General features: G+C 38.1%; 1 protein-coding gene across 6 annotated transcripts, besides 3 other annotated features; it reads right to left on the bottom strand.

Annotated features, from left to right (window-relative positions):
- On the bottom strand, nucleotides 1,229-26,816 carry HMGCR (3-hydroxy-3-methylglutaryl-CoA reductase). 6 transcript variants are annotated; one of them, XM_011543358.2, is made up of 21 exons: nucleotides 25,461-26,125; nucleotides 25,042-25,140; nucleotides 20,575-20,762; nucleotides 19,381-19,492; nucleotides 19,013-19,100; nucleotides 17,687-17,771; nucleotides 16,036-16,141; nucleotides 13,197-13,303; nucleotides 12,971-13,087; nucleotides 12,396-12,556; nucleotides 12,030-12,277; nucleotides 11,743-11,921; nucleotides 8,648-8,842; nucleotides 8,131-8,289; nucleotides 7,823-7,980; nucleotides 6,897-7,002; nucleotides 4,518-4,688; nucleotides 4,035-4,175; nucleotides 3,789-3,947; nucleotides 3,206-3,360; nucleotides 1,229-3,057 (listed from the first exon to the last, which is right to left on the bottom strand). In XM_011543358.2, the coding sequence occupies exons 3-21, from the start codon at nucleotides 20,737-20,739 to the stop codon at nucleotides 3,003-3,005; spliced, it is 2,667 nt and encodes an 888-aa protein (XP_011541660.1). In that variant the 5' UTR covers nucleotides 20,740-20,762; nucleotides 25,042-25,140; nucleotides 25,461-26,125; the 3' UTR covers nucleotides 1,229-3,002. The 6 variants fall into 6 exon arrangements, with proteins under 6 accessions (XP_011541660.1, XP_011541659.1, NP_001351116.1 ...); XM_011543357.2 differs by lacking the exons at nucleotides 25,042-25,140; nucleotides 25,461-26,125 and adding an exon at nucleotides 26,728-26,816; NM_001364187.1 differs by lacking the exons at nucleotides 25,042-25,140; nucleotides 25,461-26,125 and adding an exon at nucleotides 26,135-26,177.
- Nucleotides 25,095-25,653: an enhancer, noted in NCBI's record as "H3K27ac hESC enhancer chr5:74633517-74634075 (GRCh37/hg19 assembly coordinates)". NCBI's record gives its function as "activates a minimal SCP1, AML or CMV promoter by ChIP-STARR-seq in primed H9 embryonic stem cells {active_cell/tissue: H9 hESC(primed)}" and the evidence as "EXISTENCE:reporter gene assay evidence [ECO:0000049][PMID:30033119]".
- Nucleotides 25,654-26,214: an enhancer, noted in NCBI's record as "H3K27ac hESC enhancer chr5:74632956-74633516 (GRCh37/hg19 assembly coordinates)". NCBI's record gives its function as "activates a minimal SCP1, AML or CMV promoter by ChIP-STARR-seq in primed H9 embryonic stem cells {active_cell/tissue: H9 hESC(primed)}" and the evidence as "EXISTENCE:reporter gene assay evidence [ECO:0000049][PMID:30033119]".
- Nucleotides 25,894-26,013: a silencer, noted in NCBI's record as "silent region_16102". NCBI's record gives its function as "represses an Ori minimal core promoter by ATAC-STARR-seq in GM12878 lymphoblastoid cells {active_cell/tissue: GM12878}" and the evidence as "EXISTENCE:reporter gene assay evidence [ECO:0000049][PMID:35858748]".

The raw sequence follows: 27,931 nt of genomic DNA, 5'->3' as shown, positions 1-27,931 counted from the left end.
CTGCCACGTTCCGGCCCCACCCCAGAACAAGAGAATCAGAAATCGCTGGGGCAGGGCCCAGCAGTCTGTTTAAGCAGGTCCTCTGGGTAAATGCACACTCATTTGAGAGCCGCAGTATTAAAGCCATCTTTTGCATTCAGCCTCCTAACTCCAGCTGTTAGTGTGAGGCTCTTCTTTTGGCCTTAGGGAGCAGCTGTTAGAAAACTCACATCCTGATGCAAGAGTGCCCATACCTCCCTCTGCAGCTCTCAAACTTGCTCAGGATGGAAAACAAGCGGCAGGGATAGGGGTAGGAGGGCTGTGTTCCAAGCACACCAAAATGAAAAAAGCAATCCGTTAAGCTTTAAATATATAATTGTAAACTAAATCATCTGCCATCTTCTCTCGGCTTCCAGTGTAGAGGTTACCCATTATTTTTGCTAACTGGCAAAGTAATTAATAAATTCAAGACTTACCTAGCGTAGGAGCATACTTCGAGAAACACTGGTCATGAAAAAATCTCCACAATGAACATAATGCTCAGGAGATTGGTATTGATGTGTTTTGCTCTTCAGTGTGAGATGTGCCCCTTAGATTTAATCCTGTATCGTCTCCTGAAATCAAACATCCTGTCCTGCCACATGCATCTCATTGCTCAGCAGATCACCCAGGCAGAGAGCAGGCTTAAAGATCCTTCACTCTCTTCTGTCCAGCCTGTTCCACCCTGGAGAGGGCTGAGCATACAGGTGACCACAGGTCATTTCAGAGAAAAACTCAAACTGATTCTCTAGTATCTGGGCCTTGGTTCTTTCTTAGTGCTCACACATACCTTTTTACCTCTAATTACAGCAAAAGTGTAGTCAATAATTTTCTGTAAATTACTGACTCACAGTAATTTCTAAAGAGGCCATCCTCAGCTATACCAAGCTGTACAAATTCCCCTCTCCAATTCAGCTCACACAGCTTAAATGCTTGCAATGGCTGTTTGGTTGTGGCTGCCCCTCTTCTCCTTAACTAGCCCTCCCACTCTCACTATCCAAAAGATGTCTAGTTGAGATGATAAATCTGAACTAATCAAACCCTCTAAGAGAGCTCATTTTAATGTAATAGAATACTGCTATCAATCAATGTTGTAGAATTTGAGAATAAATGGTCATGTGAGTCCTAGCATGAATTACAGGTTACTACTATGACCAGACTTTACAAGCTTCCAGACCTCAGGGCTAGGGTTAATCCAAAGAAAAAAGGTTACTGCTTACACTTATTGGTATTAACTTCCTTTTCATTATTTACTGAAACTAGAAAAAAGTATTCTATAACAAAATGTATACAATTTAGTAATTGTACAAAACATTAATCCAGCAAGATATTAATTACAGTCACTAAAATGAACACTCAACATATTTTTCACTGCCACTTCCATGAAAAGCTCAGAAAAAGTCACTGGCTAAAAAGTCACAACAAAAGCAATTTAAGCTTTACGTACAACAGAAAAGGTAAATCTTCCACAATAACAATGCAGACACAATCACTAAGAGGCTCTCCATGCTGCCATGGTTTCCTGGAATGTTTTTCAGAGTCCATCTTCTACAAGAGACATCATCAGCTTTCCAAGAGCAACACTTGAAGCATTAGATGTAATACAAAATAAGGAGTTCTTTATTATTTATACAAAACTTGTACATTAAAAAAAATTAAGATTCAATAACTCTGCTGACCCCCTGAGAAAGCTAAGAGCGTTCGTGGGTCCATCAAAGAGCCCTGTGTGAATGTTTCAGTCACCAACCTCCTGGCCACAGGAACTAGGCACAGTTCTAGGGCCATTCACGTGGCTCCTTCACTGGCTCTGAAAGCTGACTTTCCCTTTCATTAGGCTCGGCAAGCAAGCCAGGGTTTCCTGGACAACATTAAAGAACATTATCTTCTCTGGCCCAGGCTAGAGTATTTTATCAGTACACAAGTTGATTTTTATTTCTTGAACACTTCCAATAAACTAGCATAAGTTTTATTACAACATATACAGATTTGATACAGTTTACAAAAAAAACTAGATTTTTCAACTAAATAAAAATGTCTTTTAAGCAATTAAAGTTGGCTTAGAGACATGGTATTTTTCTTTCAAAACTGTGTTTCTACAATGATTTCTAAGGTCCCAGTCTTGCTTGTACTTGACAGTCACCCTCATCTAAGCAACATTAAGAGCTCTGATATCTTTAGTAAAGAATACAAAACCCTGTGTTTCTTAAAAGCCTAATGCTGAAAGACATGTTATAGCCAATCCAGACAAACATTTATATTTAAACATTTATATTTAAACAAAAGGCCTCTCTGAACAAATAGCCTGCGGAGATAAATACAGTGATTTGTTTTCCTGATAGAACTATTTAGCATGTTTAACACATTATTCTGTAGTTTGGGAATAAGAGTGTTTCTTCCCTTGAAGAAAACAGGTCCCCTTCTGAAGAATAATGCTGATTACCCCCCAAAATCAAAATAGACCAGCACCAAATGAAGTATTAATTTACAAACATGAACTTAGAACTTAGCTCTTACTTCTTGAAGTTCTACATCCCAGACTTAATAAATTAACTACAAAATCAGGAGTTTCATCAGCTACAGTATAATTTAAAAATCCATTTTCAACTGGCAGGAGTGAGGGAGAAGGTCAATTGCACTGATCACCATGAACTTCAAGAATTTCATCAAAACTTTTTTCCCAGCTTATATTTGCCTTCAGAGGTGAGCTGTAGATTACCATCTCTGATGCTTTAACATACAATATTCTTGTTGAAATCTCTTCAAAGAGCACAGCATGTAAAGCACTAAACTGTGTTCAGATCTGAGGAGTCTGCATGGAAAGAACCTGAGACCTCTCTGAAAGAGCCAAAAACCAAGTGGCTGTCTCAGTGATCACATCTATTCATCCTCCACAAGACAATGCATTGAGCTTTTTTAATTCACAGATTTTATGTTAGTCCTTTAGAACCCAATGCCCATGTTCCAGTTCAGAACTGTCGGGCTATTCAGGCTGTCTTCTTGGTGCAAGCTCCTTGGAGGTCTTGTAAATTGATCTTCGACCTATGGTAGAAAATGACAAAGTAGCAATATATAAATATCAGGAGTGTAGAATTTTAACTTGGAACTACAGTAGATGAATAGTAAGTTTTTACACTGCATATTTTTTGAAGTATAGGGGGAACATGTTAAATATATCTTTGAGTCTTACCTGTTGTGAATCATGTGACTTTTGACAAGATGTCCTGCTGCCAATGCTGCCATAAGTGACAATTCCCCAGCCATTACGGTCCCACACACAATTCGGGCAAGCTGCCGGGCATTTTCCCCAGGATTATCTTTGCATGCTCCTTGAACACCTAGCATCTGTAGCCAGGGAGAGACACAACAAGATTCACCCTTAAAATCATGACCAATTTCTTACTAAATCAACTAAAAACAGGGCAACTGTAATGGCATCAGAATAGAACTAGACTCCACTGGAAGCACTAACTTTCCAAGACTTGACAGCCACACCTGACAGTGCATAATACCATAGCTAACATAATATTCACAGCCTGACTGGCAGTACCCTTAACTCAGTAGATGAACATTCATTTGCTCTCTTCATCTACTTTCTTATCTAAGCATAAGCTTAAACATGCTTATTTGGACACAATGGATTAGGCTGATATGACAAAAGAGTTTGGAAAAGACCAATTAAAATAGAGGTGAGTGATACATAGTCTCAGATAGAAAGAGAAACCCAGAGAGTCAGAACTAGGCTTGTGGACTCTATGCCTGATACATCATACCTGCAAACAGGCTTGCTGAGGTAGTAGGTTGGTCCCACCACCCACCGTTCCTATCTCTATAGATGGCATGGTGCAGCTGATATATAAATCTTCATTTGTGGGACCACTTGCTTCCATTAAAGTAATACAGTTTGAACTACCAACATTCTGTGCTGCATCCTGGAAACAAGAAAAGAAAAAATATACAATATACTTCTTTCACTTAGAAAGACGTAACACAAGAGAAGTGGAGGCTGGAGAGCTCACCTGTCCACAGGCAATGTAGATGGCGGTGACAATGTTTGCTGCATGGGCGTTGTAGCCTCCTATGCTCCCAGCCATGGCAGAGCCCACTAAATTCTTGTTAATGTTGACCTCAATCATAGCCTCTGTGGTAGTCTTTAATACCTACAAAACAGAGCTGTGTACATTTAGATGTTCCTCCAGAAGGTTCAGGGGAATGTTACCCAAATCTATCTTTCTGAACCTCCAGAAAACAAAGTTTAGATGTGGCCCCATTTAAGCCCTGTCCTCCATTAAAAAATAAAAAAAATTAAAAAAAATCAGTAAAGTTTGTTCCTATGGATGATACACACAGACAGATGGGCAAGGTACAACAGTCATCTTTGATGGAAAACACTGTCCCATATATTTAACTTTATTTAAAATGTTAATACTCCTTTCCCCCATTTTTAAATACAATTAAAGATTACAAAATAAAAAAGATAAATTATCCATCCAGTCACTCACTTCTCTGACAACCTTGGCTGGAATGACAGCTTCACAAACAACAGATTTTCCTCTTCCCTCTATCCAATTTATAGCAGCAGGTTTCTTGTCAGTACAATAGTTACCACTAACGGCTAGAATCTGCATTTCAGGGAAATACTCGTGAAGTTTTGAAAGTGCTTTCTCTGTACCCTGTTAACAAGAACCCAAAACACACACATATTAAACTGCATGAAATATTCATCCTTCATCCTTATGAGAAGAATTTGTATCTATGATATATTTCTAAGTATAATAACTATACTTCAAAGAAACTGAGCACAAAAGTAACAGCTGTTTTGTTAACCATCACAATTACTTTCTTGGTCAGGTATAAATTCCTAATGTGTTTCTTTCTCGGTATGAAAACCAAGTTCTTTGTAGTCATTGTTGAAAAAGATGTAGATAAAAGATGATAATGTTAAAAATATTCAATAAAAATACTCATATTTATATGTCACTGGGGAATGAGTAATAAATTCCATCTTCTAGTTATTCAGCTGTTACCTAAAACCCCAAGTAATGAAGTCTGTAAAGAGAAGTGGGTCATAAGAGTTGATCTTGTGATTCGACTCTTATGTCGTTGAGCTTTATATTACATAAAATACAAATAAGCTTCCCAATGACTTCCAATTAAATGGCATTAATTCAATTAACAACTCATACCTCAATAATCCAAAACATATTTATTGGCAATTAAAAACATAATTTTATTGTGGTGAAACACATAAAATTTACCATCCTACCCATTTTTAGGTGTACAGTGGTAAGTATATTCACACTGCCATGCAACAAATCCCCAGAACTCTTTTTTAAGTTCTGGGATATATGTACAGAACATGCAGGTTTGTTACATAGGTATACATGTGCCATGGTGGTCTGCTGCACCTATCAACCTGTCATCTAGGTTTTAAGCTCCACATGCATTAGGTATTTGCCCTAATGCTCTTCCCCTTGCCCCCAACCCCCCGACATGCCTCGGTGTGTGTTGTTCCCCTCCCTGTGTCCATGTGTTCTCATTGTTCAATTCCCACTTACAAGTGAAAAGGTGTGGTGTTTGGTTTTCTGTTCCTGTGTTAGTTTGCTGAGAATGATATTTCCAGGCTCATCCATGTCCCTACAAAGGACATGATCTCATTCCTTTTTTATGGCTGCACAGTATTGCATGCTGTATATGTGCCACATTTTCTTTATCCGGTCTATCATTGATGGGCATTTGGGTTGGTTCCATGTCTTTGCTCCCAGAACTCTTTTCATCTCACAAAACAAAAACTCTGTACTTACTAAATAACAACCACCCATTTTCCCCTTCCCCAAACCCATGATAACCACCATTCTACTTTCTGTCTCTATGAATTTGACTATTCTAGACACCTCATTCAAGTGGAATGATACAGTATTTGTCTTTTTGTGACTGGTTTATTTCATTTAGCATAATGTCATCAATGTTTATCCATGCTGTATCATGTGCTATAATTTCCTTCCTTTTTAATGCTGAATAATATTCCATTTTATATAGACATATACATACACACACATACAAATACATCTAATTTGTTGTCCATTCATCCAACAACGAACACTAAGGTTGATTCCAATTCATGGCTATTATGAAAAATGCTGCTACAAACATAGCTGTACAAATATCTCTCTGAGAACTGCTTTCAGTTCTTTTGGGTATATGCCCGGAAGTGCAACTGCTGGATCATATGGTAATTTCATGTTTAAGTTGTTGAACTGCCATACTGTTTATTGGCAATTTTAAAGCTTATACAGATGCTCCTTGACTTTTGATAGGTTTATTAGGCTGTAAACCCCACATAAGCAGAAAATATCCTAAATTGAAAACAGACAGACGGACGGACGGACAGACGGATGGATGAATGGAGTCAGGGTCTTGCTACATTGCCGAAGCTGGCCTCAAGCTCCTAGGCTCAAGCTAACTTCCTGCCCCAGCCTACCGTGTAGCGAGGACCACAGGTGTGTGCCACTATGCACAACTATTTTTTTTTATTGTTTGTAGAGATAGCATCTCACTGTGTTGCCCAGGCTGGTCTTAAACTCCAGACCCCAAGCAATCTTCTTGCCTTGGCCTCCCAAAGTACTGAAATTATATTGGTGTTCTTAAAGACAAATCTTGAAGAGGTCAGCTTCAAAGGTGGTCTCTTGACTGGATAAAGTTTTGAAATGTCAATACTAAGATTGTTCCCAGTCCTAAGTAAACTCAGGATATGTGTAATGCCAAGTCTAAATTAAATCTATCAAATGTAAGGAATACCAATCAACAAATGCCTGATTTGTTTTTTATAAAAGTACTTTCATTTTAATAAAAGTACTTTCAGATACTCTGCCTACACTTACCTTTGAAATCATGTTCATCCCCATGGCATCCCCTGACCTGGACTGGAAACGGATATAAAGGTTGCGTCCAGCTATACTTGTATGAAGTTTCTGTAGACGTGCAAATCTATAAATAAAAGATGCAAAGACTGTGTTTTATTCTTTTATTATTATTATTTCTTTGTTTTTTGTTTTTTTTTGAGACGGAGTCTCACTCTGTGGCCCAGGCTGGAGTGCAGTGGCTTGATCTTGGCTCACTGCAACATCCACCTCCCGGGTTCAAGAAATTCTCCAGCCTCAGCCTCCCGAGTAGCTGGGATTACAGGCGCGGGCCACCATGCCCAGCCAATTTTTGTATTTTGAGTAGAGACAGGGTTTCGCCATGCTGGCCAGGCTGGTCTCGAACTCCTGGCCTCAAGTGATCTGCCCGCGTTGGCCTCCCCAAAGTGTTGGGATTACAGGCGTGAGCCACTGCGCCCAGTCACAATTATTTCTTAATAAACTTACACAGTTCACATAAAAACAAATGTGTTAGCTTGAACTATACTATGGTTATCATTTGTGTTGATTATGCTACTTTATTAATTTTCTTTATTTGAAGTAAGTCTTATTATACTAATATTTCTCTCCTATTTGAAAAATCTTTTTTTCTAAGACAGTTCTCTCCTAGGCAAAGTAACATCTAATCAAAATTACTAGCTCACACTTTTTTTTTTTTCTTACTAATTTACCTCTGTGGAGCTATTCATTTGAATCAACATTCTTTTTTTCCCCCCAACCAAGCATAAATATTACTCATTTTAAATGAATGGCTTTAAAGTTGATATTCTGTTATGTGCTCTTTAGCAGGTAATATGTTAACAATTATGTTTGGTAATCACAGAAAATGACACTGGTTCTAAAATAAACAAATAGATATAACTGTACATACAAATCCACTCACACACCTGCTAGTGCTGTCAAATGCCTCCTTTATCACTGCGAACCCTTCAGATGTTTCGAGCCAGGCTTTCACTTCTGCAGAGTCACAAGCACGTGGAAGACGCACAACTGGGCCACGAGTCATCCCATCTGCAAGGACTCGGCTGCTGGCACCTCCACCAAGCTACACAGTATATGTTAGAGAAGCAAGCACATGTTACCCAAAAATGCTCATGCTTGACCCAAAAGGTATCACTAATTGTCCTTAAAACTCTTCTCATTGCCTTACTTATGATGTATTTTTAAACTGGCAAATATATAAATGCCAACTTACACCTATTGCTCTGCAGCCTCTATTGGTGCTGGCCACAAGACAACCTTCTGTTGTTGCCATTGGAACCTGAAATTCTTTTTCATCTAAGCAAAGGGGTCCTGCCACTCCAACAGGGATGGGCATATATCCAATAACATTCTCACAACAAGCTCCCATCACCTAAAAGGTAAAGTCAGGCACCAAATGAAAATCTATATAGTAAATGCACAAAATTTTATCTCAGCTTGTCAGTATAACTATCTTCAAACTTAATCCTTTAGTATGTATTCTTTTTAAACAAAATGTTTAATTCACCTTTAAAAAGTGTTTAAAATACTAAAATCTTTGAGTAATGACTATAAAAGCAGGAAATATATTTTTAATTTCTATGACCTACATCATAAGCAGAATAAAAAATTAGGATAAAATGATTTAAAAGGAAAATGTTTTATAAAACTATGTACATATATGAAACTAATCAAGAAAAAAGATTAAAAACATACAAAGCAAATCTCTCTTAATCGAGAAAATAACATACCAAGGAGTAATTATAATCCCTGTAAGGTAGGTACTGGAGAGAAGAAGGTTCTGAAAGCTTCTTGGAAAGTAACTGTCGGCGAATAGATACACCACGCTCATGAGTTTCCATCAGAGTTTCCAACTTGTAGGCTGGGATATGCTTAGCATTGACTAACTGGATGATCTCAGCATCACTAAGGAATTTTGCACCTTTCTAAAGAAATGGAGAAAAAAAATGAAATTGTGGTCAGAGAGAGAGATGAAACAGAAGACTTGAAGGACTGTATTTCATGTTATAAACCATTTAATACAAACAATGCTAAGCTAAAATAATGTAATTTTTAAATTAAATCACTGTAGTTTTTAATTAAAAGATACCTCTGCAAAATAATTCATTTAATGCAAAAAATGCCAAACAAAAATAATATAAATACCGTATCATTAGATTTTACAATACAAAGACAGGCTTGCACTAATACACCATAAAAAGAAAAATAAATGTGAATTTAGCAAGGTTTCAAGTGTGTGTCAGATATAACAGCTATTGTTTAAACTCTAGTAAACTTGCTATTTTTGATATCCTGAACAGGCAATATATTCACATGGTTTAAAAACTAAATATTAAAAGAGATATAACAAAAAGTCTTCATCCCATCCCTGTCTACCATCTGCCCAGTTCTTTGCTACCTACACATAAATAGGTACCACTGTTTCACTGTGTATCCATCCAGAGATGTTTTTAGGCATGATTATAAATATGCATATATATATATATACACGCACACATATGGGTATATATTCACACAAGTGTTGGGCCAAAGGGTATGAACATTTACAATCTTATAAATTTTTATAATTTTTACAAATTTATTAATTTGAATAAACACGGTCCAATTGCCTTCTCACCACCAATGTAAGAAAAGACCTTTCCAGCCTGGGGGCAGTGGCTCACGCCTATAATCCCAGCACTTTGGGAGGCCAAGGCGGGCGGATCACCTGAGGTCCGGAGTTTGAGACCAGCCTGACAAACATGGAGAAACCCCGTCTCTACTAAAAATACAAAATTAGCCAGGAATGGTGGCGCATGCCTGTAATCCCAGCTACTTGGGAGGCTGAGGCAGGAGAATCAATTGAACCCAGGAGGCAGAGGTTGCGGTGAGCCAAGATCATGCCATTGCACTCCAGCCTGGGCAACAATAGCAAAACTCCTTCTCAAAAAAAAAAAAACCAAACCAAAAAAAAACCCAAAAAAACAAGAAAAGACCTTTCCCTACAACCTCAATAGAGTATGTTATTAAACTTTGGGATTATTGCCAATCTGATGAGTGAAAATATCTCAAGTACAATTTTAATTTGCATTTCTCTTAGGATGAAGTTAATCACCTTTTCACATTTTTAAGAGCCATATGTACTTTTTTCCTGACAATAGACTGATTATCTGCTCTTTTTAAAAATTAGATAAAAATTTAGTCTCATCAATTTGTAGGAGCTCTTTATATATTAGAGATTAGCCCTTTAGCCTTAAATATAAATTGCCAATATTTTCTCTTGGTTTATTAGCTGTCTCTTGACTCTGCTTGTGGTGGTGATATACATACATACACATACACACACACACACTCACAATCACCACCCTCCACAAAACTGGTACCAGTAATTCCATTTTGTGGGTTTATTCAAGGATCTTCTTTGCAAACACTAATATTAGCCTAATTTTTCAAAAGAATAGTAAGATAAACATTAGCTGGTTTATGTATTATCAATGCAAATTCATTCATTCTCTTAGTAAGTTTACTGAGCACCTATGAAATCCAAGGCCCTCTCAAGACATGGACTTAGCCATCTAAGAGCCCGATGTCTAATAATGGAGATATTCATGTAAATGTGATATAAGCAACAAGGTACGACTGCCATTAAAAATGCACAGTCTCTATATAATGGATGCTTCAGAAAAGAAAGGTTACTTCTGTTTGGCGGAATTGAGGTAGGTTTCATAGAGATGCTAGCATTTGCCCTAAAGGTGTGAACACCTGGAGAGGGGGAGACATGTCAGATGACAAGAATAGGAACCCAGAGTTGGGAACTGTATTTAAAGAACAATGACTAAGTTTAGCTAAAAAGCATATGATTGAAGAATGCAGGCCGGGCATGCAGTGGCTCATACCTGTAATCCCAGCACTTTGGGAGGCCAAGGCAGGCAGACCACTTGAGGCCAGGAGTTTGAGACCAGCCTGGCCAACATAGTGAAATCCCATCTCTGCTAAAAACACAAAAATTAGCCAGACATGGTGGCGCATGCCTGTAATCCCAGCTACTCGGGAGGCTGATACACAAGAATCGCTTGAACCTGGGAGGTGGAGGTTGCTGTGAGCCAAGATGGTGCCACTGTACTCCAGCCTGGGTGACAGAGTGACACTCTGTCTCCAAAACAATAATAATAATAATAATAATAATAATAATAAAATAAAATTTTGTCAAGTATACCTCAATAAAGCTGGCAAAAAATTGCATTTTACCAATAAACGTATTAACATATATTTAAAAGAAAGAACCATATTAAGCAGACATGGATGGAACATGATTATTTGCATGAAAGCATGAGTAGATTCATATGGTCATGTAGGCAGAAGGTCCTGTTCAAATGTCAGAAAGAAAAGCAAACTTCCTCATGGGTATCAAGCTTACAAAACAAAACAAAAACAAACTTTCTTCTATCTTTGAAACTTGTCTCTGTGTTAAACTCTTTCTAGGCCTCAACACACCTATGAGAATACAGTAGTCACTCATCTCTATGATAAACAGTAATAAACTAGAAAGAGTTTTGACTCTGGAGTCAGAAAATCTTGGACCCTGCTATCAGCTTTATCATTTCCTAGAGGTACTACTTTGGGAAATTAAACATATTGGAGCCTCAATGTTCTCATCTGAAAAATAGATAATTGTACCTACCTCTCAAGGTTGTGTGAAATAAAGAAAGAAGATAGTATCTGTTAGTCATGTTACACCGTGCCCAGAACTTAGCTGTAGTGTTCAGCAGATACTAGATTTTTCTTCCTTGAAAAAGCTCCTTTGTAATGAAAAATGCCACATTGGAGTTTATGTTATCATCCTCACCTCTGCATTCCCAAGTATCTGTAGACATTCTTCATTAGGCCGAGGTTCCCTGGGAAGTTCAATTTCAGGTTCCTGTGTCACCAGTACTGATGAAGTATCGAGTAAGGAGGAGTTACCAACCACAAATGTAGCTCTGTTTGGGGTATCTGTTTCAGCCACTAAGGGTTTTATAACCTCAACTGTTCAAGAAATCAAAAGAAATCTCACAACACGGCACATAATTTTGAAAACAGACTACTTTTTGACAAAGCAATGAAGGATTGAAAGCGAAGAGAATAACAAGTTACCTTTTCTTTCTCGGTTTATCCCTGTCTCTTCCTCTACTGAATCACATTTCTGGTTATTTCTGACCAGCATAGGTTCACGTCTACAACAATTGTCTGGGACTTTCTTTTGTGTCACTACAGGAGATGTGATAGGGTTTTTTAATGAGAGTGTAGATTCTGTCTCTGTTTGTTCAAAGAAGATGTACTTGACAGCCAGAAGGAGAGCTAAACTTAGGGTAATAACTTGTTCAATATCCATGCTGATCATTCTAAATAAAAGAAAGCAAATTAAAATCTTATTCAGAAATGTAAAGGACACAATCTAAACTTACATTAGCATAGAGTGTTATGATTAATATATCACAAAGTAGATTTCAATTAACTTACTTAGAGAGATAAAACTGCCAGAGGGAAACACTTGGTTCAATTCTCTTGGACACATTTTCATCCAGTCCTAATGAAACCTTAGAAGTATCTGCTGTACTGTTTTGAGGAGAAGGATCAGCTATCCAGCGACTGTGAGCATGAACAAGAACCAAGCCTAGAGACTGAAATAAAATTTTTAAAGTAATGTATCCTCTGCATATCAATAGAACTTAAATTTCTTATCCCTAGCAACTGGACAGCCAGACATTATCTCTCATAGCTTCCCCTTACCATGAAAAAAAAAAAGCCCCAAGCTTGCTATGCAACTAACTAAAGTAGTGACCCCACTGAACTACTGAAAACACCCCAAAGAACAGGCTTTCAACGAGAGATAAGGTGGGGGAACTTAAAAAGTCTGTTTAGGAGAGAGGGGCTAATAAAGACCAGGAGCCTCAAAGAAATGAACACATTAAGAAAAAAAGGAAGAAGGGGGTGCAATATCATTGAATGGGCCAAAATTGTAGAAAAAAAGAAATCTTAAAAATAATGAGATTGGAACTGAGGATACTAAAAGAAGAAGAAAACCATGTCATTACCATAATCATCTTGACCCTCTGAGTTACAGGATTCGGCTTATTTTCTTCTTCTTCTAAAACTCGGGCAAAATGGCTGAGCTGCCAAATTGGACGACCCTCGCGGCTTTCCCGAGAAAGCTACAAATTAAGTCAGTGTGACATTAGAAGGTATTGATTCTGTTTAGGTAAACTGTGTAAGCAGAAATCTTACTCTTCTACTAGTGCCATATGTAAGAATTGGTCTTACCTCTAATACCAAGGACACACAAGCTGGGAAGAAAGTCATGAACACGAAGTAGTTGGCAAGAACTGACATGCAGCCAAAGCAGCACATAATTTCAAGCTGACGTACCCCTGGTTAGAGAAAAATTAAAGATACAACTAGTAAAGTCTACGTTATTTTTTATGCTGCATATATCACAAGGATATATTTGTCTTCCTGCAGGTGGACAAAACATGAAAATATTAGTACATTAAGCTCCTTGCCACTTACTGGAAATAGAATTAGCAACTTAGAGGTGATGCCAAGCCTTAGGAAACAGCAGGAATAACAACAGAACTCTAAGTCCCTCAAGAGCAAAGCTCTTGCCTTCTCTCATGTCCCCATATCACAATGCCAGGCAGAATGGTAGTGTTTAATACACAATTGATAAAACATATGTGTTTCCAATTCCTTTTTGTCAAGCAGTAGTGCCTTATTATTAAATAAGGAGAGGACAGGCTACTCTAACAGAGCAAAACCCCAGTGACACTATTGATCTAATCCCACTTGTTAGGAGAAAAGCAATTTGCCAATTAACCAAGGATTTTTTATATAAGTAGAATATCCTGCCAGTTATGCCAGTCCTGATATAAGGTCAAAATAATATTTTTTGTGTACCAACAAACTCTAATTTCAATATAACCTCTATGATGCCTACTGAAGTTCTTATAATTTTGGTTATTTCATTGATCTGTTTGGAAAATGATATAATACAAAATGCCAACTTAAGACTAAAAATTAACAAACATATTGTACTACAACTGTTTAAGGTATCATTTGGTGATCTCAAATAGAAAACAGAATTATAGAGGCTAGAAGAGACCTTAGATGACCACCAAATCCTTCTCCCTCACTTTACAAATAAACTTGAGTATAATATAAAACATATTTCTGATGTCGCTCAAACATAACAATGCTTTGAAACACAAATTTGAATTGTCCTATAAAAACTGCTCACAAAAACTCAAAGTTTTATTTTATTACCTACATTTTAAGATATAATTTGACTGACTAGAACAAGCATATATTGTATTTTTTTAATTCCCAATGCTTTGAAACATAAATTTAAATTGTCCTATAAAAACTGCTCACAAAAACTCAAAGTTGTATTTTATTACCTAAATTTTAAGATATCATTTGACTGACTAGAACAAGCATATATTGTATTTTTTTAATTCCACGATTACCCTCAAATGTGGAAATTCAAGAGACTACAAAATCACAATAACAAAAGCATTATAAATCAAACTACATTTTAAATAGTAGCTGAATATAATCTTTTCAAACTTGAGGCCATTAAAACCATACTTGACCAATGCTTTCATGACTTGACTATCTACTATTTCTCTCTGCACAATATTCACTCATGTTGTTGCCATATGCTCTCCAGGCATTCTTCCTTACTGTGTCCCCAGATAAGTCTCTCTACACACAAAGAAACAGCACCAATCCACAGACATCCAAGAAGCTAAGACTTTCTTCTTTTTGTACTGGCTTTTTCAAAGGGTTACTTCCAAGTTAATATGTGTTAAATCTGTCCTTTTTTACCGTAACCCAAATCTCTAATTATACCATTTCTGTATAGCTGTAAATGTCTCACTGTCTTCTCCAACCACAAATCTAATCACTTCCTTTGTCTACTTCTCTGACCATATCATGACAAAACTCATCGCCCAGCTGCTTTCCACATCATTATTATTTCAATGAATAATCCCATGGTTTCATGGCCCAACTATTACTTCCTGGCGAATCCCCTTCTCATATATTCTTTTGCTTGAATAAAATCAAACAAGTACATTTTCACCTGATCAACATTTTTTCTTGAGTGTAGTGGTGGTTACAAGACTATGTCATTGTCAAAACTCATAAAATTGTACTCCCAAAAGTAAATTTTAAAGTAAGTAAATTTTTAAAATTAAAAAATATTTTATTTGCTAAATAAAATCTTTGTTGAATAAAATAAATAAATAATAATTTGCTCTCAGAAAGTTAGAAGCAATATTACATTTTTAATATACTATCTACTGAAGAGGCCTAAACTAATGACAATAATTTACCCCCTTAAAAGTTAGATAATTTACTTCTGAAAGAATGAGGCATCTCATTGAGGGCTCTAAGGTACCAGGAAATACACAGTAGTTAACCAAGTATGGTCTTTATAAGAAAGCCATAAAATATAATCCTAATGATTAGGAGACCTTCACACAGCGTAATATATTCCTTCTGGCAAATTTCCATGCCAGTCTGTAATTTTTATTCTACATAATGAAGTCCTATGTTTGATATTAATATCTAATTCTCTACTATCCAATTAAGAATGAAGAAACATGTGTTGAAGCTAATGCTGGGTACTTGCTGAGATGTACTGCTTACTATCGGATTAAATATTTCCAATCACCTTATTAGGTGAATCTTACTCAGATCTGTCCAATTCCTGACTCTTTTCTCCCTACATGATAATTAAAACACAAAGAACCAAGTCACCAATTGAGTCTAAGTAACAGCAGGGGCTGGAAAGTGTTTTCCAGACCAACCTTGGAATGCAATGTTGGTTAAAAAAACAAACAAAAGAAATCAAATGAATAAAAATATCACAAAGTGGAACACAAAGAGAGGATGGCAGGAGTGAAAAATAAATCAGTAACCTGCTGCTAAGTTTCCACCAAAGCAAACAGGCCAGATATACCCACACACTAATATAATAAAAAATTTTAAGAGTAATTTAAAAGTCAGAATTTAACAATAAATAATACAAATCCAAGATGTTCTTTTTCCTCTTTAGCGACATACCTATTTTAAAATATGGCAAAAATTGCTTACAAACCTGACATGGTACCAACTCCAATCACAAGACATTCAACAAGAGCATCGAGGGTAAACGTAGGACCTAAAATTGCCATTCCACGAGCAATATTTTCCCTTACTTCATCCTAAAACAGATCAAACATATCAATGAAGGCAAGGGACAGAACAACTTTTTTAAATGTTAGAGCATCCTATGGCTTATATTAATATCAAATTACTATTCAAAGAGTAAAATATACAATATGATAAAACTAACAGGTATTCAAGATACAAAGTATGATTGTAATATAAAGGATTTTAAAAAATTTTTTTTTGAGATGTAGTCTCACTTTGTTTCCCAGGCTGGAGTGCAATGTGCAATGGTGTGATCTTGGTTCACTGCAACCTCTGCCTCCTGGGTTCAAGCAATTCTCCTGCCTCAGCCTCCCGAGTAGCTGGGATTACAGGCACCCGCCACCATGCCCAGCTAATTTTTGTATTTTTAGTAGAGACTGGGTTTCACCAGGTTGGCCAGGCTGGTCTGGAGCTCCTGACCTCAGGTGATCTGCCCACCTCGGCCTCCCGAAGTGCTGGAATTACAGGTGTGAGCCACTGCGCCCAGCCAAATTTTTAAAAAAGAACATATAGTGCCCTGATTCCCTTTCCACTGAATAAGATATTTGTTAGGAATATTCCTTTGAGGTAGTGCATTAACTCTGTCATTTAAATCACACATAATTAAATCCTACAACATTCTATATTTTTACCTACCATGACAGAAGCTTAGTTGCAAATTTTATGAGATCATATTAGTATTAATAAAACCAAACTTATTTCCTTGTTAATATGTTCAAATGATCACACACTTTCATCAACAAATAATCAGGGCAGAATTGTGTGCTATTTTATACTCAAGATACTCTGATATAATATTGTTAAAATGGTTAGGTTCTTCAAAGTGACTAATGAACATTAAGATGAAACTTAAAATAGGAAATAATGCCAGTGTTAATTTAAGGGGTTTAAAAATAAATCTGGCCAGGTGCAGTGGCTCACACCTATAATCCCACCACTTTGGGAGGCTGAGGCGGGTGGATCACTTGAGGTCAGAAATTAAAGACCAGTCTGGCCAACATGGCAAAACTCCGTCTCTACTGAAAACACAAAAATTAGCCGGGGATGGTGGTGCACATGTGTAATCCCAGCTACTCAGGTGGCTGAGGCAGAAGAATCCCTCGAAACCAGGAGGCGAAGGTTGTGGTGAGCCAAGATCTCGCCACTGCACTCCAGCCTGGGTGACAGAGTGAGACTACATCTCAAATCAATCAATCAATCAATCTACCCTGGGTTTCTCTTCCATTAGATCTTGTTCTGCTCTCTGATGTGTTTCACTAGGAAAATACTCTTATTTACCCAAAAATTATTATTACCATAAGTTCTGAAAACTTTCAAAAAGAAAAATGGGGGCAATTCCAAATTCCAGTAGCTACAGAATCATAATTGAGTTGTTAGATACAGGGGACTGTTCCTGGGGCACTTATGGAGACCAGTCTTGGGACTTGAGAATTAAACTTAAAACTTTGGGCAATTCTTAAATCTTGTGCTATGAAGAAACGCTATTAATCCTTCCTATTAATGTAAACTGAAAAAAGGAATACTATTCACATTCCTATCTTATAAATAATACTTACCTGTGAGTTGGAACTGAGGGCAAACTTTGCTAATGTGCTTGCTCTGGAAAGGTCAATCAAAAGTAGGAAAAAGGGCAAAGCTTCACTGGAAAAGAACAAAATGATCAGATAAATTTAACGGGAAAAAGTATGATTTTAAAAAAATTCTTTTTAGAACAAAACCTTTCCCCCTCCATACTGTATGATCCTGTAGTATGTGTACCTTTCTGCAGACAAAAAAGTATACCCTATATTTCTTTGGCATCCTCAAAGCTAAACATAGTAGTTGCTCAAAATATTTGTTAAAAATATTTTTAATGTTAAAATGTAAGTATATTTACATTTAAACACCTTTTGATAATTTTGTATCAAAGTATCATCCTTAGTAAAAAATATCTCCTTGGATTACCATTAGGGAAAAAAAGTGGAATATATAAAAATTTTCATTGATCACTACCTGTGGAAGGATAAACTAAACAAACTTTCTGTAAACTAAATTGGCAATAATAGCACTAAAAAGCTCTTAAAAAAAAAAAAGCAAAGCTCTAAAAAAAGCAAAACCACTGTCTCACTTCTAGGAATGTATCTTAAGAAAATGATTACAAATATGAACAAAAATTTCGTTACAAAGACATTCATCACAGTGTTGTTATTAATAAAAAAAATTACATAACCTAACAGTCCAACATTAGATGATTAATAAACTACAAGACGTTTAGACAGAAGAGAATACATATAGCCATTACAAACAATTTAGTTTAACATTAAGGACATGGAGGCCGGGCACAGTGGCTCACGCCTATAATCCCAGCACTTTGGGAGGCCAAGGCAGGCGGATCACTTGAGGTCAGGAGTTTGACACCAGCCTGACCAACATGGCGAAACACAGTCTCTACCAAAAATACACAAATTAAATGGGCATGGTGGCAGGTGCCTGTAATCCCAGCTACTCAGGAGGCTGAGGCAGGAGAACTGCTTGAACCCGGGAAGTGGAGGTTGCAGTGAGCCAGGATCGTGCCATTACACTCCAGCCTGGGTGACAAGAGCGAAACTCCATCTCAAAAAAAAAAAAAAGGGACATGGAAAGATGTTGATAAACTATTATTAAGCATAAAGAAATTATAAAACAATATATATGATATCAGATATTTTCTTTAAGTATAAAAACAGTAGAAAAGGATATATGCCAAAATGTTAATAGTTATTAAAATTAGCTAATAGTAAAATTATACAAAAAAATTTCCCCTTATTTTCTTAACTTTTGAAAATGTACCTTTACAGCATGGGGAAGAAAAGTTTTTTAAAATGTATTTTGACAGAAAGTATATTTAGGTTTTAAATACTTACTTCAAGCCTGTCAATTCTTTGTCTAAGAAGTGAATGACAACTGTACTGAATACAAAACTTGAGAAAATTGTGAAAAGGCCAGCAATACCTAAAATGACAAAAGTTCAATACTAAAAAAACTTTATCCTTTACTACACAAATAATAACAGTGTCACACAGCATTCTGAGATAATACTAGTTTACTCCAAATTATTAAGGTCTCAAATTTCAGAATGTCTAATTGCCAATAATAAGGAAACTATTCAATGCATGCAGCACACTTTCAGCAATACACATATTTCCAAATACATGATTTGAATGAACAGGTTTATTTCCACAGCAAATCAAAAATCTGATGACACCAGAAGTTAAATATGTAAAACTATTACCCAAAATATATTTTGATCCAAGTTGACGTAAATTCTGGAACTGGAAGTAAATATACAGGATGGCTATGCATCGTGTTATTGTCAGAATTATAATGTCACTGCTCAAAACATCCTAATAGGAGAGAAAGAAAAGGAAATTCCATTAGCTTTGACTTTTAAAATAAGTAATCAAAACTAAGAATTTTTATTTTGCATGTGTAATTCATTTATATAGTCATGAGAACATAAATGTAAGCACAATACAAGTCCAATAAAAATATCAAACCTACAAATCAAAAATTAAATCCAACTTTTAATCAAACCACTGTGGTAAGCCAATACATCACCACAATTTTTTTTTTTTTGAGACAGGGTAACATGCTGTTACCCAGGCTAGAGTACAGTGGTGCAATCACAGTTCACTGCAGCCTCAACCTCCAGGTTCAAGGGATCCTCCTGCCATGGCCTCCCGAGTAGCAGGACTACAGGTACATGCTACCACACCCAGCTAATTTTTTAATTTTTTTTGAGATGGAATCTCGCTCTGTCACACAGGCTGGAGTGCAGTGGCGCGATCTCGGCTCGCTGCAAGCTCTGCCTCCTGGGTTCACGCCATTCTCCTGCCTCAGCCTTCCGAGTAGCTGGGACTACAGGAGCCCGCCACCATGCCTGGCTAATTTTTTTGTATTTTTTAGTAGAGACACGGGTTTCACCATGTTAGCCAGGATGGTCTCGATCTCCCGACCTCGTGATCCACCCGCCTTGGCCTCCCAAAGTGCTGGGATTACAGACATGAGCCACCGTGCCCGGCCTTTAATTTTTTTTTAAAGACTGGGTCTTACTATGTTGTCCAGGTTGCCCAGGCTGGTCTTGAACTCCTAGGCTCAAACAATTCTCCTGCTTTGGCCTCCCAAAGTGCTGGGATTACAGGCATGAGTCACTATACCCGGCCCACAATCATTTTTGACTATTAGTCACTTATAAAAGATGTATTTCTCAAATAAAGTCAATTACATTCATTTGTAAAGACAAAGCAAAATAAGAGCATTTCCAGTGCATTCCATGTAAGCAGAAATTTGAGGTAAGTTCCAAAATACTAAAATAAATATTTTACTCTAACTTTTAAAAATTATGTGCTCCCTATAGGGGCTTAAGGGCTCTTCAAAAATTGAAAATGTAATTTACTTTAGTCAGTATCAAATTAACTTCACTAACCTCTTCAAACTTTGGACATTCATAATTCCAACCACAGATCTTATTGTTACCAGTAAACATGTTCATGGACATCATGCAGATGGTCAGTGTCACTGTCCCCACTATGACTTCCCAGGGATGGGAGGCCACAAAGAGGCCATGCATTCGAAAAAGTCTTGACAACATTGTAGCTACAGAATCCTTGGATCCTGGAAGGAATATCAAGGGTGAACACTTAGTATACAGCTCATTGTATTTTTAGGAAAAGATTTTAAGGAAAAGTGTGCTATAAACCCTGCTTTGTATGCACAGTGTCCCATACATATGACTATTTGATACTGTTCCTTATAATTCTGGAAAATAATTATAAAATTAAGAGAACTATGTTATTTCTTCTTCACTCAAACAATAAATCCTTTATTACTTACTGGCAACCAACTTTAAAGCAGCCATTTCTTAAAAATTATATGAATTCAAACATTTAAGATCAAACCAGATAAGTATCTCGACCTTATTACCTAAGCCTTGCAAGTAGAAGAGCAATCAAGCAGAAAACACAAGTGAGAAACAGCTATTCACATTTTCTAATTACCTAGATATAAAATGCATGTTAAGTATCTTCTTCATCATCTACATTCTGATTACACAAAAGGTAAACACCCAAGAATCCACTTATTGAGTGTCCTGCTATAAATCATGTTAGTTGATAAGATCCTCAAGGGCAGGGACCTCTTGTACTTTTTCATTCCATAGAACATATGGCATAATGTCACTAGCAAAAGGATGTTTAATAAACCTTCCTAACATTGCTGTCAACAGAAAAAAAGTCTTTTCTGATAGATGTTTCTACATTAATAAAACAGGGTTAAGAATTTTGCTGTGGTGGCTGCTTTTCTTCTAGCAGATTCATCAACAATAGTGCTAGAAGACCAATGGAAAAGCATTAGATGTGAAAAGCTCCAAACTTTCACAACTAATCAAAAGCTGGAACAGTACTAGAAGAGGATGACTGGCTGAAGTATCTGTATATAGCATTCAAAAAAATTCCCAAAAGAACATATAGAAGATTTTGATTTACTGACTACCATGACTAAATTTCCTGTTTGCTAAATAATAATTATGACATTCTGATTTTGAAAACAAATCTTCTATTACCATTGGTCTCCACAAATAAACCTGCAAGTCTTACTTCTTTCACTAAAATCAATGCCTGTGATAAGGCATATTAGTAACCTGCAAAAATCAACCAAAAAGATTTAAAAAGCTCATTAACTGCCACTCTAGCAAGAATTCAAATGAATCTCACATTTAGTAATAAATAAAAGTGATTCATCTGTTGAAGACAGACTATAAAAAGGCAATCAAGTAAGTGAAAGAAAGCATTAATCTATTTATAAAGGGTTAGGGGAAAGACCAAAAAAAAAAAAAAAGAGCAGCTTTAAGGAACCAAAGCAAATACCAAGTGTCATCTCTCACTGCATCACTCCATGTTCTCTACATTTCAGACATACCACACCACTAGCTAAACAGTTTTCAAACTGTTGATCCACAACAACTGCATCAATTACATCATGACATCAATTTTGTCGTTAAGAACAAACATTTTTAAATAAAATAAAATAGAAAACAATATTATAAAAAATAGCTGTTGGGTAAGCCAGGTAGTATGGGTAGGTATTATTTCTTAAAACTATGTTTCAAGAAACTATACCTATATAAGTGTGTGTCTGGCTTTTAAATTAACGTGTATTTCCTACTGTGGGTCACAGTTTTAAAAAGCTGGCAGTACCTAAAGGAATATAAATGTGGCATGTACCTGCCTGTGTTTACTCATGCTTTTTCAACCTTCCACCCTGAGTCTTATTCATCAATTTACCCTCCAGCACCTTGCACTCATATACAGCATTGCTCAACAAATGCTGGCTTAAATTCTTAAGCTATAGTAGCATGTATTTTATGACACATCTTGAAACAGACCTAAAGACGACTTTTTTTTAAGGCACCTAGATATGGATGTAACCCATGCCCTCTAGTTTAAGGCTAAATGCAGAGCATTCAGGGAACTTATTAATGGGGTACGGGAAGGAGAAACATTTTACATACAGGCTGAGTATCCTTTATCCAAAATGCTTGGGACCAGAAGCGTTTCAGATTTTGGATGTTTTTGAATTTTGTAATATCTGCATTACATTTATTAGCTTAGCATCCCTAATCCAAAATCCAAACTCCAAATGCTGCAATGAGCATTTTCTTTGAGTGTCAGGTTGGTGCTCAAGAAATTTCAGATTTTGGAGCATTTCGGATTTCAGATCTTCAGATTAGAGACAGTCAACTTGGAACTATCCTGGAAAATGAACAACAGCAACAAAATACTTTCTATTAAATTAGCAGGTACTTGGACTTTTAAGTATTGGAAATCTTTAATCAAATCTTAGATTTGAACTCTACTTAATTATAAACAAAAGACTCACTCACTAAAAGGCTAGATTTTCATCATGGTATTCTATCACATAATTTCTTTCCTACATTTAAAACACAACTCTACCAACTGTTCTAAAGGATCAATTAGCATCAAAGTTCCAGAAAGTAAATTAACTACATGTTTCAAAATTAGGTCAAAATTATTTCTAACCCTCTTTCCCTGAAAAAAAAACTCTTCAGCTCAGATTATTCCTCATTATGTCAATCAGATTCATTGTTTTAAAAAGTTAATTCATTTGAGTTAAAATCTTAGCTGCAACCCAGAAGGAACACTAACTTGTGAACAAATTGGTTTAACATCATAAACCCATAATTATACATTAGACACATTATGTTTTCCCTCAAAAGATTTTATGGTGGCATTGTAATTCTGGGACTTTTTTTCCTAGGTGTAAAGTCATCTTTGCAATATTCAAGGAAAAAAATTACACATGATTCTGTCAGCCGCCCCTAAACACAGAGAACTCCACCTATTTGGAAACAAACTGAGCAATCTTATGAGGGTGTGTCAAAAGTAACCATAATTATAAACAATCTCATTTCTCAGGAACATCCTCCCCGTTGCCCTGTGATTACGCAAAGCATTTACATGCCATAGAATTCAATCGTCCACCTTCATCAGCAGTTGCAAATGTCACAAGCAGGCTACAGGATAGCTCCTGCAAATTAAGTTGACAGTATTTATGCAATGCTGCAATAAAAATTAATTTTTTTTTTTTTTTTTTTTTGAGACGGAGTCTCGCTCTGTCGCCCAGGCTGGAGTGCAGTGGCGGGATCTCGGCTCACTGCAAGCTCCGCCTCCCGGGTTCACGCCATTCTCCTGCCTCAGCCTCCCAAGTAGCTGGGACTACAGGCGCCCGCCACTACGCCCGGCTAATTTTTTGTATTTTTAGTAGAGACGGGGTTTCACCGTTTTAGCCGGGATGGTCTCGATCTCCTGACCTCGTGATCCGCCCGCCTCGGCCTCCCAAAGTGCTGGGATTACAGGCGTGAGCCACCGCGCCCGGCCAAAAATTAATTTTACTTAAAGAAACAAATAGGCAAGGTATGCCTTACTTATTCAGACTAAAAAGTATGCTGCAAACTTTTACAGATTCTTTAAAAGAATGGATAATTCTTAAATGTCAATCCAATCTGCTACAGAAGCCACCTACCATGGCCAACTGCAGAAAAGGATGTTTTGGCATCTTACTTCCTCCTACTCAGCACTCCGCCTGCATTACACATTCCAGTATTTGATTATATACTATCTCACAGTGTTCTCAAATTAATAAATGTGTACATTTTGTCTCTTTGAAGCCAAGAACTGCGTCTTATATGGCAGTCATTTTCAATCCCAACAAGATCTAGCATTCTGCTGCTCAAGCTGGTATTCCAGAAAGAAGGAAAAAAAAAAAAAAAAAAACGAATCTTGCACTGGCAATCAGGAAATCTGGATTCTATACCCAATTAGCTCACATTCTATTACATGTTGTTTTTTAAGTCATATCTATTCTCTTCATTCACTTATGAAGCTAGAGCTCCAAAGTTCTCTGACAAAGATAAGTGTTAAATGGAATCATATGAAACTGCTATTTTTGTAGGTTAGTTGAATTTTAAATACTGGCAATTTCACATGGGTCAACCTAAGTAGACCATGTAATTCCATAATGTGGCTATCTATAGTCTAGAAACTAGACCATAAAGGAATACAAAGAGTGTGTGCATGCACGCATACTCACACTCTTATCTTGAAATGGTTATCCCACATACCCGACAATTTTCATGTTAATGCTGTAACCTATGTGCAATTTTGTTTAACCTTCATGTTACTAATTCCCATTTGTTTTGGCCACCAAGTTTATCATAAGTTCTGGAAGAACACTACAACAAAGCAGGCCTGCAAAATCCAGCCTATCCCCAAAGTACTGTCCAGGTCTTTGCTAGATTATCTCTAAATTGCAAAATGCCTTTCACTGCATGGAGAGGAAAATAAATTCATAAGTAAACAAAAAGTACATTCTCTACCTTGTGGGACGCCGAAATCATGCACATTTAGTATAGCCCAGAAACAAATGCTTCCTACGACTCTGCAGGACCATGTCTAAGAAGGAATATCCTCAAATCCTGAAATATTTCAAACGACTACTTAAGAATGGAGTACATCGACCTCCTCCTACTGCAGAAATTAACTGTTCTATATTTGTATCTCCAAGGTACATTTTTCCTAAAAGAATATCAGCACCAAGGAGACTACACCCCTTACCAAAAAAAAAAAAAAAAAAAGAGGGAGAAGAATCTTTTGAGTCATTGTGCGAATCCCCACGTTGGGCTCCGCATCCTCTCAAGCCGTTCTCCTGTAAATAACCAGACACATCTACACCAATCCACGGTTCTTTCATGGTTCTAAGTTAGTCAGCAGTATTTACAGAGATCTTTCCCGTCACCTAAAAGAAAGGTGCTAACGAACAGCAGTTCCTGGGCGTGAATGCCCGGATCCCGGGATGCAGGCGCTTCTCCCGTCTGCCCTGCGAGCTGCCGGCCCGACAGCCCCATAGACCCCTAGCATTTCTCGAATCCAGGGGCCTCCGAGGTCACCCTGCCTGACACCCTTTCCGCCCCGATTTTCGTGACCGTGCAGCCAGCACTGCCTACTCTGACTGAACAGGGACGATGAACGCAGCTACGCCCCGCGGGTCCACCGATGATGACCGCAGTCACGAAGAGGCCAGACCGCCGCCCGCCTCTCAAGCCCACCCCGGGACCCCGGGTTACTCCGGCACTGATGCCGGCCGCCGCTCGGCCTGCCGGGCCTCAAGGACATTCCTTGCAGTCCCCGCGGGTCCGAGCTGCCACACCGACAAAGCGCAACCGCAGCCCCCTCCAGGTCCGCAGGAGCTGCCGGTAGCCACTTCCCAGGGCCGAGGGAAGCTCCAGAATTGCCACCAACACAGCCCAAACCCCGCTCCCACCCATCTCCGCCCCGCTCCCCGCCGCCCCTGCCCCTCTTCTCGGTCACCGCCCGCCTCACCTCCAGATCTCACTAGAGGCCACCGAACCCCGGCGCCGACGCTCAGCCTGGCTCCAGTTAACGCAGTCGCGGAGCGGAAGGAGCCCTCACCTTACGCACGCTCGGAGCTGGACGAGCCTTCGACCAATAAGAGAGGATCGTTCGATTGTCTAGCCAATCGCCTGGGGGCTGCTCGGCCTGACGGCGCTACGTCACGAACGGTCGCCTTAACAACCGCCCACAGCTCTCTGCAGGGCCAAGAACAGGCACCGCACCATCTCTCACCACGGCTCGGCCAACCAATAGCCGTTCGAGTCCCAGCACTAGGGCCTGCCTATTGGTCCTAGAGCTGTGGGGGCGCACGCATGGCAGCTGCCTAGGCGGAGGCGATAGGGGACCAGGCGGGTGGAGTGTCCCACAGCCTCAGTGCCTGACCCGTGCTCGTCCTGGCTGTGATAGTACAGTAGGAGGCAGTGATAGGAAGCAGAATCGGAGCGTGAGGGAAAACGCAGGGTCAGGTCGATGACTGAAAGCTCAGTTACTAGCGCGGGAGAGATGGAGGGAAGCGGAGGCGGCCATGAGAAAAAGAGGAATATAAAAAAAGGGAAGGTGGCGGCGACGGGCACCTCAAACCTGTAACTGGCCGGTAGCCGAAACCAGCGCTTTCCCGAGATTTACCCATTAGTGTAAATGGCTCCGGTCACCTGCGTCTCTCTCTCTTGTGTGCGACATCCATTGCATACTGGATTCTCTCTGAAATGTGCCTCTCCTGCGTCTTCTGTGCGTTCCTTCTGCTCTCCGCCTGGTGCAGGGCTTTATTATGTCTTACTTAAAACAGTGCAATAGCCTCTCCTAACTGGTCTTCCCAGTCTTACACGCATGCACTTCCCAATCTGTCCTGCAGAACTCCCACATGCAGTATGTGGCATACTACTTCCTATTATGCCATAGACCCAAATCAGCGTTTCTCATTGTCTACTGGATTAAAGAAAGAACCTGTCACCACTAATATGGCCCCACCACACATTTCTGACGTATCTCTACTTTCCTGTGCGAACCTTACAGTTCAGCCAGGAGTAACTGGCCCTTCTTCAGTCACACTCAGTACCTTTTTACCTCCCTGCTTATGTTCTCTTTGTTTACCTTGGATATGCCTACCCATTTTAACTGCTGAGATCCTAAATATCCCTTAAGGACTTTTTCATATGCCACCTCCTTTCCTAATTCCCTCAAACACATCATCACTCCCGACCTTGAAAACCCATAAAATTTCCGTAGTATTTTTTTATTTGTCTTACTATCGTATGTGGAAATTTATTAAGGACAGGAATTGTATTTCACTCAATTTTTAAAGCCCATATTTTGAAACACATTACGAAGAAAACACTAAACACTCCTTAGTTTTAATAAATGATTATAGATTCTTATAATCCTTATATAATAGGTATTATTCCCATTTTACAAAAAAGTAAAAATTAAAGTTTGTCAAGCAACTTGCTGTAGATCACATAGATAATGAGCAAAACTGGAATTTGAACCCAGATCTAATGCTTAGGCTGGTTCTACTGTTCCCCACTGCTTCAGTGTAAGACCTTCATTCATATCTCTTTACCAAATGTTGCCTTTGAAATGCTCATTATGTGAAGTACACACTGTGGTTGGCATGGGAGATATAGTGACAAACATGACAGACATAGTGCCTGCCTTTATGAACCTTGCACAGTAAAGAAAACGGGTGAACTACCCAAAGATTGCAGTGTTCTCTTAGCAGCCTTGTCAAAAAAAAAAAAAAAAAAGAGAGAAAAGTGTGTAAGTACCGAGAGCCTAGAACCTGTCATATTTTTAATGCCGCTAGAAGTCTCAAGGACCAAATATCTCAGAAGTTACAGGTTGTACACATGCCTACTA

Source organism: Homo sapiens, chromosome 5 (genome assembly GCF_000001405.40).
Source record: "Homo sapiens chromosome 5, GRCh38.p14 Primary Assembly".
NCBI classification, from domain to species: domain Eukaryota; kingdom Metazoa; phylum Chordata; class Mammalia; order Primates; family Hominidae; genus Homo; species Homo sapiens.
The sequence above is the reverse complement of the archived record's forward strand: the minus strand, read 5'-3'. Positions and strand labels throughout refer to the sequence as shown.

Excerpts from the sequence above, each read along its gene's own strand:
- HMGCR (XM_011543357.2), bottom strand. The coding sequence starts at position 26,764 with ATGCAATGGATGTCGCACACAAGAGAGAGAGACGCAG. Across the intron at positions 12,557-12,970 it reads AGAGGGTCAAGATGATTATG|TCTCTAGGCTTGGTTCTTGT; the intron begins GTAATGACATGG and ends ATTTTATTTCAG. Across the intron at positions 4,689-6,896 it reads GGATGAACATGATTTCAAAG|GGTACAGAGAAAGCACTTTC; the intron begins GTAAGTGTAGGC and ends TCTTGTTAACAG.